This window comes from Homo sapiens, chromosome 2 (assembly GCF_000001405.40).
Source record: "Homo sapiens chromosome 2, GRCh38.p14 Primary Assembly".
In the NCBI taxonomy this organism is placed as follows: Eukaryota; Metazoa; Chordata; class Mammalia; order Primates; family Hominidae; genus Homo; species Homo sapiens.
The window spans coordinates 152,672,719-152,684,840 of record NC_000002.12 but is presented as its reverse complement, the minus strand read 5'-3'; the positions used below and the strand labels follow the sequence as shown (position 1 = coordinate 152,684,840).

The following is a 12,122-nucleotide window of genomic DNA, read 5'->3' as shown; positions in this document are numbered from 1 at the left end:
TTTCCTTATTTAGAGTAGTGAGGGGATTTTTCTATTCAGTGTTTGGATTTAGCCATTTTTTCTAAGTTTTCATAAATTCAGTTTATACATTGTACAAATGTGTGTGTATATGTGTTTGTCTCCATGACACACAGAAGGTTGAGTTTGAGTATATTGAATTTCTTTAAAACTGTTGTGTCTTGTTGACTAGCTTTTTCTGACTCTGAAGAGCTTATTACTTGTGATAGTTACATGTGTATGCTTTTTTCCTTATGCCCAGTTTTCTTTGCATTTCAAATGATTTTTCTGTATAAATTTTTGCCACTGTATCATTTGGCACTGCATTTTAGACATTTTCTATCTTATTACAAATAGGATAATCAGTAATACGAATGGACCATAATTGACCTGTTTTCCTATGGGTGTACATTGAGTTAACTGTAATTTTTCACCATTACACGTAATATTATAAATAACGTCCTTGTACATGTTTGCAACAATATGAATGGAAGTTTTCAGAGTGAAATTTCAGGTTCAAGCGGTGATGTTTGCATTTTTAATATTTGTAAGAACTGCTGAATTGCCTTTATGCTAATTTCATTCCCAACAGTAACACATGAGAGTGAGAAAAAGTACCCTTTTTCTCACACACCTTTCGCATTGTATATTAATGGTCTTTGTCATTTATCTGATGAGCAAAAAGTTTTTATTAATGTGTGGTTTTTTGATTGGCTAGTGAAGTTGAACATCTAATATAATAACTGTATTCTGTCTATGGCCATGTTTATTTTTCCATTAGACTGTGTTTTCATATTGATTGTAGATATAGTAAGGATAATTTTATCCCTTATTTTGCTGATACACTCCCAGTTTATCTACCTACTCCCCCAAAAAAGTTGTTTTAATTCAGTTCCCAGAACTGCTGTTTCATATCTAATTTTTTTATTAGCATAATAACTGTTGGTAATAAAATAATTGTGGTCTTGAAAAGCAGCTCGATGTTCTAGTGTCATTTCCCAAGTCCCTATGAGCAAGTTACCAGCCTTGCTAAACCTTGGTTTTCTTATCTGTAGAAAGATAGTGATTATACCTGCTTTGTAGTGTAATTAGTTATAAGGCTCAAATAAATAGTTAGAGAATATTAAGTTGATTTCTATTTGTTTTATTAGCTTGTGTCTCCTCTCCCTCCTCATCATTTGGTCAACTATACAGTGTCCTTTTCTTTTTTATTCTTTTATCTCCTTGTGGTTTTGCTGATTTTGCTCTTTCCTTGATGCTCCTTAGCAGATGTGACTTGAAAAGTTGAACATAGTCTACACAGTTTTGCAGCTTATGGTAGAACTCTGTTTAAGTGGTGATGGTGCAGTTTTGAGATGCTACTGACATCATTAGTTGTTTTTAAAAGGAAAATATAAACCCCTTTATCTGTCTTAACACCATTTAATTTGTGAAATAAAGCATTACCATATAGTCGAAGTTTCCACATTTGTGTTTCTAATTGCACCACCTTTTGATGAAAAGAAGTTAAAGCAGGCTAATAGCAGAAAGCCAGATTATTTTTCCACCACCTGTTTTTATATTTGCTTTGGAGATTTTTCCAGCACCTGTTTTATATTTGCTTTGGAGATATTATGGTGATTTTATCCATTTTAAAGTGCTAGAATTTAACACAGCTTTGGAATTATCTAATTATCCTGCTACAGCATGCAGAAATTTATTGCAGATGGGACCATCTAGTTGGGAGACAGTGACAGATCATCAGGCATTAGATTCTCATAAGGAGCATGCAGCCTCACATGCACAGTTCACGATAGGGTTTGCACTCCTATGAGAAACTAATGCCACCACTGATAGGACAGGAGGCAGAGCTCATGAGGTAATGCGAGTGATGGAGAGCGCCTGCAAATACAGATGAAGCTTTGCTCGCTCACCCACTGCTCACCTCCTGCTGTGCGGCCCGGTTCCCAACAGGCCACGGACTGGAACTGCTCCATAGTCCATGGCCTCGGGGTTGGAGACCCCTGCTGTAATCCATAGTGTCTGTGACCTCCGTTGTCAGGGTAGCAGTTGTGCATGAGTAAACAGCAAAAGTGCCCACATCAAAAGAATGGATGTCACTGGTTTCAAAGAAAATTATAAAAGTAATGGCACTCCCTTAGGAGCTAGGAATAAAATGATTATGGTGAAAAAATTGGTAAAGAAATGAATCACATATGTTCAGTCACATTCCCAAAACAGAAGTCAAAACTAGGTCAGCTCTTACTCTTTAAAGTTGATAAGAAAAAAATAAAAAATCAGCGTTTTAAATAGGTACAAAAGACATTAAGAACCAGTACCAGTGATTTTTCACTTGTTTTATGATTTTTTTTAAAGATATACTATATTACCAACGTATTTGATGCTAAAGGGCTTATATTTGGAATATAATGGATATCAGCAACTCTGACACAGAAAGTCTCAGTGTGAGGAAATTTAAGGGATCTCTTAAGTACTTTATTTGCCTATTTTTCTCATTATGTATGCATAAAAGTGGTATATGGTAAAATTAATGTGGAAGTAAGACTAACTTTCAATAAGTTTGAAGTAAAATCTGGTAAAAAAGCATAGGGTCATTTGACAGCGATTTTATTTTTTCTTAAGAGGTTTGTACAATAATATGTCTTAGATTTGAGGGAATATTATATAAATCATTTTTGTAACCCTTCAAGCATAGTTAAATTTGTCACCATCTGGAAAATCTGGTGCTTGAAACTAGGTTTACTACCTTTGATATCATTTAGTAAATCATTCATTCATGATGCCTTTTAAAACTTTTAACCAACTTTTATCTGAGGGATGTCTAGTGTTGCCTGGAGTATCATTAGCAACTTCTAGTAGGTTCTTAGTGTGTTCTGTTGACCTTAATAGTGGATTTATATTCTGTAGTTTCATTCATGTAAAATTTTATCTCACCTATCTTGTTTTGAGGCATTCACATACACATTTTATCCCTGTTAAATTTCATCTTGTTGATAGTTAAATTCTGATTGTTGTCCAGAAGCTGTGTTTTGACAGCTGTGTCTTTCTTTATGGAATATCAATTAGAACTTTGTCTAAGTTGATACAAGTATTCCTTGGACTACAGTAGATGAATAGATGATCACATAGTCAGTTCAAATATATTAGCATCTAGTTCCTATATTTTCTTTATCCACTAGGCACAGATTTGTATTCTGAAAGATTGTCTTTTGTATGTAAGCTATAAAGTTACTGTTCTTAGGAGAGTAGTCTTATCTTTGTAATTCAGAGAGATCCTGAAACTTGAATTTACCCTTGCTGCTTTTGAAGTACTCTAAAAACCTTGTTTTTCAGTTCCCTTCCTACTTGTATTGATGAATTATTCTAGATTACTTAAACTGTCAAAATATGCCCAGTTTTTACTTTTGATTGATTTCTTAATATATTTATTGCCTTGGAACTAATGATACTGATATTGTCAATGGCATTGTTACATAATTTACATCTTTTTTAATCTTTATTCTTTAGAAATCAATGTGGACTGAACATAAATCACCTGATGGAAGGACTTACTACTACAACACTGAAACCAAACAGTCTACCTGGGAGAAACCAGATGATCTTAAAACACCTGCTGAGGTAAAAGTTTGAGAGCTGGAATTCAGGGACTGTCAAGTAGACTGGGGCGTATTTTTTAGGATTCTATAAGTAGTCGATTATCAAAGAGCAGTACTGCTTAAATGTCAGAAGAGGATCTGTAAAGACATTCAGAAAAAAAGAGGGTTAGTATAGTCACACCAATCGGGAAGAAGAGCAATAAAACTCAACAGAATAATTTTATTTACTGATTTTACCCCTGCTTAGAAAACCTAGTAGAGTGGGATCAATTTTAAAAAGGTGATTTAAAGAATAAATTGGAAGTGGGGAAGACTGTTTCTTTGCCTGCCGCTGGCTTTTTTTTCTGATAGCAAAACTGGGTGATTTTAAATGACTTCTACTGAGTTCTTAAATTTCCAGTAGGGTTAAGGGTAGTGGAGATGAAATTAAGTTACCTACAAATACTTCCTTCTCTTAGAGTGGGAAGTTTTCTCTTTGCAGGAAATGCCCTTTTAAAAAGTGTGTTTTTATTTTGTTTTTTGTTACAAGTTTTACCATTCAAAATATACAGATATTGAAGAAAAAGTTAAGGTTGAAGGAATAAACTGAATTAAGCAATGTCACATGTTGTTTAATTAGAAACTCTGGGGTGCTAAGTAAGTAAGAGTTGATCTGGCACTCCAGGCTATGCTTAAGTTTCATCCTAGCTGGTGGTATACCTTTTTGTTTTCTTCTCTTCCTAATTAAGGAATTTGAGAAGGTAAAAGTATTTTCCAGGTTGCTGTACTAACATGAACAGCAGTGCTTGGGAGGGGAGGTCGGACGATTTTTAAAAACATGTATTCCAGTACTGATTTATAGCCAATGATATTAATTACATACTTTGTCCAAGACACTCTGTTTGGATTCACACTTTGAATAGATTTCTCATACTACCCTAACAGGTTTTGTTTATTCGATTTTAAGTATATTATACCTACATGTTTTCTTACATAATAAGTTAATTCGTTCATAAACTACGAAACTGAAATCTAAGCATGACTAAATTAGATTTTGTTTTTTTTGAACTTTTATGGTTTTCCAACTAATATTAGTATCAGAGAAGTCTGTTAAATGTGGATGATAGGCCGGGCGCGGTGGCTCACACTTGTAATCCCAGCACTTTGGGAGGCCGAGGCGGGCGGATCACGAGGTCAGGAGTTCGAGACCACGGTGAAACCCCGTCTCTACTAAAAAAAAATACAAAAAATTAGCTGGGCGTGGTGGCGGGCGCCTGTAGTCCCAGCTACTCAGAGAGGCTGAGGCAGGAGAATGGCGTGAACCCGAGAGGCGGAGCTTGCAGTGAGCCGAGGTCGAGCTACTGTACTCCAGCCTGGGTGACAAAGCGAGACTCCGTCTCAAAAAAAAAAAAAAAAAAAAATGTGGATGATAATCTTGACCTATAATGGGGTGTGAATGGTTACAGTAAATAGGATTTGAAATTCATATAGAACTGGTTTTGAATCTTGTCTCTGCTTTTTAATGAGTATATTACCTTAAACAAGTTACTTTCTGACTTCAAGTAACAGTCCCTAGATACAGAATTATGTTACACATTTTGCAGTGTTATAAAGATTAAATAATGTATTCAAATGGCATCACTCAGTGAATATTCAATAATTGATAGTTTATATTATTACCATCATCTCACGAGTTTTAGAATTGTATCAATTGGTAATTTCTAGTGAAAACAGCCATGTAAATGATCAGTGATGTTAAATATATTATTATTAACAAACAGTTTTTTCCTTTTCAGCAACTCTTATCTAAATGCCCCTGGAAGGAATACAAATCAGATTCTGGAAAGCCTTACTATTATAATTCTCAAACAAAAGAATCTCGCTGGGCCAAACCTAAAGAACTTGAGGATCTTGAAGGTAAAATGGGGAAAAGTAGTTTTCAATGTATATGTTTTACATATATATGCCATTCACTTTGAAACAATTCCTCCAGAATAGGATTGTTCAAACAAAGGCCTTATTTTTTTTTTTAATTAAATGATTAGAACATTTAAAATGGCGTATAACAGTTTTTTGGGCTCTTATTTTCTTGTTGCTTTAGATCTCAGTTCTGTAGATTTTAAATAGATTTTTATTTGATTTGATTCCACTGAAACTAGGATACCAGAATACCATTGTTGCTGGAAGTCTTATTACAAAATCAAACCTGCATGGTGAGCTGCTTTGATAATTCATTTTCTGTCATACTTAACATTTTTATTAGAGTATGTCACTAATATTCACTAACCATAATTGGATAAATCTGCAGTGAAAAATCTCTAAGAATTCTTTTCATTAAAGGGTTATATTATAAATGAGCTTGTAGCTTTTAAAGTCGTACTTTGGTTTTTAGAAAAAAGATCGTTTATCATTCAATTGAACAAGGAGTTCATATACAAAATTTCCAAGTCCTACTATGAGTGGTGCATACATAGAACATGTGTTTTAACTCATTTCATGGTAATAGATAGTGGAGAACCTTGAATCTGTATCCATTTATATTTTGTTAGTATATTGTCAGACTATATATTTAATGCTAGTTTTGTTTAGCACAGTGTTGCAAAATAGCCTTGATATGTTCTTTATGGAAGAATTAAGGTAAACCAAGTATCATGCCTTACTTATAAAGGGAAAATTTTTCAACATTGGAACTAATCAGAATAACCCTTAAAAATCTAGAAATACTTAATACTAAATATAAAACCTAAGACTTAAAATAGAGATAATAAGTAAGGATTGAAAATCTAGTTTTTATACTCACTTCTAATAGAATCTAGTGTCATAAATTATACAAAACTAGAAGCAGCAGATTGTAGGAGAATGGGGCTAATAAAGTAGATAGTGATGTGGAATGACATCTGGCAGGAAAAGAGAATAAAAATTTCCTAAAAGACTGTCATATTAAGCCCCTTTACCTTTTCCTTGTGCCACCTCATTAGATAGATAGATCATCATTGTATCAGAAAAATGTTAATTTATATTATTAATGATAACTTTGTAAGTATGTTTTTTCAGCCATCCTAAACAGATTTTCAGAAATGTTTTTCTTTAAAGGGTGATAAGTTTTAAAAATTTTTTTTATAAAGAGTTAGGCTTGTATTATTACTTAATGTGGAGAACCTCATTCCCTAGTAATGTTAAATAAAAGGTATTTTTGTTACATCCAAAGGAAAATGTACTGGAATGAAAAATGAAATTGTGCAGATCTTTAAAGCTCAGTTTAAGTTACCTATACTAGCATTGGCTAATAATAATATTGTAGATAGGTAGATTCCCAGTTGATCATTTATGAATTATCAAGCTCATTTCTGATATAACCCTACTACAAATAGTTGGTGTGCGTAACTATCTATCTACTTGTCAATGCTAGTATATATGTGCTGGAATTTTATAATAAATTTGATCCCATTTTGAATTTAGTATCTTAAAAATATATCAAACTAGTCTCATCCCTGAAGAAAATACAGTTTTCATCCAGAATTATGCAGATACTTTCATAGAGTTGTTGCAGCAGCCTTTGGGAAAGCAGCAGCATGGAATAAGCTTTCCTAGTAATTACTGTTATTTAAGTTTGTTGTATTCTTTATTTGCTATACTAGACTTTCGGAGCAAGAATTTGTTCTGTAAAAGTGATTTTTTATTTTTTAGGATGGTAAATGAAATCCTATTGTATGATACTTTATCTTCTTTTAAAGTTTGTTTTCAGTGATTATATTTTAAAACTAGTAGATGACTTTTTTTCTCTCTTTAATAGCAATGATCAAAGCTGAAGAAAGCAGGTAAGCAATTTTGGACATCAATTTTTATTTACAAATTTGGTCTCTCCTATGATATCCTTGTGTTTTCTCAATTTTCATAATACAAATAATTAACATGTTAGGCTTGATATTTTGATGTCCTTGTAGCATTTTGTTGAGGAAAAATTAGGGAGGGGGATATTTACTCAATTTGATGTTTTGCTATACAGTAATTATTAGAATTTGGACTGTATCCCTTAACAAATTAAGAAGACTGTGTTACAGAAGAGTCCCAAATTCCGTTTGAGTTGATTAGGGAATGGACGAAATATATCTGTGTATCTCTTCCTTTATATAGGGTTTCCTCTAAATGGGCAAACTGGAGAAAATTTAAAGTTCTTAGAGAACTTTCTAATACAGGTCATTTTTCGTGGTGTAAATACAGTCTGATAGATTGGGTATTTTATAAATGTGAACGCTTACTGAACTTTTGAGTGCCTGTAATACATTACCATGAATGTTAACGGAATTAAAGTAGTACAGTTACATTCTGTGGTTTTAAAATCTTTTTTAATGGGCTTGGCATTTCTTGCCGTTTTTTCCTTCAATTATTTTTCTTATTATTTGATTTTATGACCATTTTAAAGCTACCTTTATTTAGCTTTCTGATTACAATAATGAAATGACCAGTGTTCTCTTTTTTTAATGTATAGTAAGCAAGAAGAGTGCACCACAACATCAACAGCCCCAGTCCCTACAACAGAAATTCCGACCACAATGAGCACCATGGCTGCTGCCGAAGCAGCAGCTGCTGTTGTTGCAGCAGCAGCAGCGGCAGCAGCAGCAGCAGCTGCAGCCAATGCTAATGCTTCCACTTCTGCTTCTAATACTGTCAGTGGAACTGTTCCAGTTGTTCCTGAGCCTGAAGTTACTTCCATTGTTGCTACTGTTGTAGATAATGAGAATACAGTAACTATTTCAACTGAGGAACAAGCACAACTTACTAGTACCCCTGCTATTCAGGATCAAAGTGTGGAAGTATCCAGTAATACTGGAGAAGAAACATCTAAGCAAGAAACTGTAGCTGAGTAAGTTTAGTAACTTGTCTTCTGAAAATCAGTACCAGATTGCATTAAATAAAAGTAATTGCCAGTTTAGTTAGTGGCCATTAATAGTTTAAATAAATTTTTTTGAGAATCGTAATATCACCGTTAAGACAGTTGATCAGTTTTCAGGCCGAATTTTGGAGGGTTATGCCAGCAAACTTGAAAAATAGTTCAGTGAAATTTTAACAAGTAGAGCCAAGGCTAGGGAGTTGGGGCACAAATCTAAAAGATTGCCAAAAACCTTAGTAAGCAAGATACATCATATTTTGATGCAATATTTTACATCAGATCAGTGCAAAAATTCATGATTAACAAACTATCAGTATTTTCAGTTAAGACAGGTGTATTGTTTCTTCTTTGGTTATTGGTGTTTTGGGTTTCAACCTCCTATAAATCAGTTAAAAAAATACAGCTTTGTAGAAAAATGAATTATGGGGGAAAAAAAAGCAGTTTATGGCTGGGCATGGTGGCTCACACCTGTAATCCCAGCACTTTGGGAGGATGAGGCAGGAGGATCACTTGAGGCCAAGAGTTTAATATCAACGTGGGCAACATAACAAGACTCTGTCTCTACAAAAAATTTAAAAATTAGCCAGCACTTGTAACCTCAGCTACTGAGGAGGCTGAGGCAGGAGGATCACTTGAGCCTAGGATTTCAAGGCTGCAGTGAGCTATGATTGCACCGCTGCACTCCATCCTGGGTGAGACAGCAAGGCCACCCTGTCTCTCTTTTTTTTTTCTTTTTTTTTTTTTGGCACAGGGTCTCCCTCTGTCACCCAGGCTGGAGTGCAGTGACGTGATCAGGGCTCACTGCATCCTCGACCTCCTGGCCTCAAGCGATTCTCCCATCTCAGCCTCCTCCTGAGTAGCTGGGACTACAGGCACACACACCATGCCTAGCTCATTGGCCTGCCTCAGCGTGCCAAAATGCTGGGATTATAGGTGCGAGCCACTCCACCTGGCCAAGGAAAAAAGGCAATTTACAGAGAAAGAAAGTTGTCTAGGAAGTATATGAAAAGCCATTCAGCCATAATAATAAAGAAATACAAGTTAAAATAATACTGTGATTATTTTTCTAAGTGAAAGTCAAGTAGAGAAACATTTAAAAGATAACACCAGATACAAGAAAACTCTCTTTTCACTCTTAGTGAGACTATAGTAATACAACTTTTTAATAAAGCAAAGCTGTTATCTGTCAGAGTTCACGGTTTGTGTGTACTTGCATACCCTGTAGTCTAGTACATTTTATATGGCTATGCTTTATAGAGCTTTAGAAAGTGAGGTCAAGCTAAATTTCTTGACTTTAAGGGTGGCCTGAATAGTTCACCATAATCTCATTATTGAAACATGATTATCCATCTTAATATTTAAGCATGTTGCCTTCATCCATCCATCCCCTATTTTAAGTGTTCTTTTGTTTTTCGTATGTTAGTTTCCCAGAGTCAAAATAGATTTTTAACTTTTTCTGATGTTTCAAAAGTTTTAAAAGAAATCTGTATGGTGTATTTGAAGGCATGAAAATGAAATTAACATTTTGTTTTATACTTTCTCCCCCTTTTCTCTACATTTAAGATACACGAACATATATCTAATATATCAGAGACATCTTCCACATTGATAGAAATGTGTACCCATCATGTCAAATGATGGGTTATTATCATTTGATTGTGCATAAATGGAAGTGCTCCTCTATCAATAGATATTTAGGCTTTTTGGAATAACTTTATTTTGCGTCTTGTCATACTGAAAGTTTTCTTCAATGTTTTCCATAAGTTTAACATTAAACAGTTGTTTCCTGCTTTTTTTCATTCCAGCATTTCCTTGGTATAGTGTCTGAGTCATAATACGCTTTTGATTTTAATTACTATAACAGAGATCATTTTTTGTCAGTATCTACTACAGTGTCTCTTCGCCTAAGCGTTCTACTTATTTTTTTTTCATTCCCTGGCCCCCACCCATGCATTCCCTTATTATGTAGAAAGAAATGTAAGGCTTCTACCATTTTTTTCTCATCAGGAAAACCCCCAATTATTAAACAAGTTAGTAATTCTGGGTAGTTGTAATTTTTGTTTGACATCAGTGTTCAGCAAACTTTCATGAAATATTAGATTGGAAATATTTTTGGATTATTTGTGTCATACAGTCTTTATATGGTGACTCAATTCAGCTGTGGTAGCACAGTCAGCGATAATGTGTAAACAAATGAACGCGGGCATTTTCAAGTAAAACTATAATTACAAAAATTAATAGGCTGAATTTGTCTAGTGGGTTGTAGTTTGTCAATCCTGATTTAGATTGATCCTTACATCTTATTTATCTTCACACTTGCCCAAATCCTTAGAGTTATTATAGCACTAATGTGAAACCACTGAATGAGTTTAATAAGCCATTTAAAACTATTAACCTATGGGCCAGAGGAGCTAGTGTTTTAAGTCAGTTAAATGTTTATTTTGTCATTTGTCCAGGGTCTTAAAAACTGATTTAATAACTGAACTTTTAGGAAACGATTATCTTTATTTCTTTGTCTTCAGATAAGTGTGTTTTTAGAGTTCATATAGCTTTTATTCTAAATGTCAAATTTTATTTCAACATCAAACATTTAAACAATTTAGACATTATTTTTCTAAATGAAGCAAAAATTTATTTAATTGATAAATACCACATTTGAATTTCTCTCTAGTTTTACTCCCAAAAAAGAAGAGGAGGAGAGCCAACCAGCAAAGAAAACATACACTTGGAATACAAAGGAAGAGGCAAAGCAAGCTTTTAAAGAATTATTGAAAGAAAAGGTATTAATATTGCAGATTTTTATTGTTTCTTAGCTTTTTGACATCAAGCATGTATTATGGATTTTTATGTGATGTGTAATAATTACCCAACAAATGACGTTACTCTTTAATTAAACCTTGATGGTATTGATAATACCAATCTCATGAACTGTTGTAACTGAAAAGCAACTAAATATGTCTTTTTTTTTTTTTTTGAAGTACACTTTTGTGAAACTTTCAACACAAAAACTATTGTGTACAAGGTACTACACAAGCACATTTCTACCCAATATTTAATGTAAGGGTTTTTTTTTAATTCATAATAGTTATCTTTTATCCATAGTCTAAGAAAAAAGCATTTATGTTCTATTTAAATTTCAGTTAAAGTTTTCATTTTAGTTCATAGGTGTATTACACAGATTTGCCTTCAGTAAAAAACTATTTTTTATAACTTGTTTCAAACTCCTGCAAAGGGAAATGCTTGATGTTTGCAGTTAGTATTATACTCAGTTTCCTATTATGTGACTTAAACTATTCTTGTGTGAAATTTTAATTTTTCATTTAAATTATTTTCAGCGGGTACCATCGAATGCTTCATGGGAGCAGGCTATGAAAATGATTATTAATGATCCACGATACAGGTAGTACTTCAACTTTTTATTTACTTTTCACTTTGAGCATATAGCAGGCCTAGCACATTTAAAGTTGTGTAGAAAGATAAAACATTTAACTGTTGACTTCTGTTTAGGATACCAAGTATAGAGTTGTTTTATGTCTAATAACCAAAAAGTCAAAGGCTTATCAAACAATTTGAGTACTCCGCTACATATAAAATAATAATTATTTTAAAAGTAGAAATTACTTTCTACAATCATTTGTAATAAATTTTTGAAAATTTTT

General features: G+C 33.5%; 1 protein-coding gene across 28 annotated transcripts in view; it reads left to right on the top strand.

The window, feature by feature from the left end:
* PRPF40A (pre-mRNA processing factor 40A) overlaps positions 1-12,122 on the top strand; it is a 66,288-nt gene that overhangs the window by 33,179 nt on the left and 20,987 nt on the right. For 17 of the 28 annotated variants that reach the window (NM_001395477.1, NM_001395473.1, NM_001395478.1 and 14 more), the window contains 7 exons: positions 3,505-3,615; positions 5,369-5,489; positions 5,732-5,785; positions 7,366-7,390; positions 8,062-8,436; positions 11,135-11,243; positions 11,799-11,863. In NM_001395477.1, coding sequence (NP_001382406.1) covers positions 3,505-3,615; positions 5,369-5,489; positions 5,732-5,785; positions 7,366-7,390; positions 8,062-8,436; positions 11,135-11,243; positions 11,799-11,863 — 860 coding nt within the window. The remainder of the gene's footprint in view (positions 1-3,504; positions 3,616-5,368; positions 5,490-5,731; positions 5,786-7,365; positions 7,391-8,061; positions 8,437-11,134; positions 11,244-11,798; positions 11,864-12,122) is intronic. The other 11 variants (NM_001395479.1, NM_001354431.4, NM_001395476.1 and 8 more) reach the window with 2 other exon arrangements.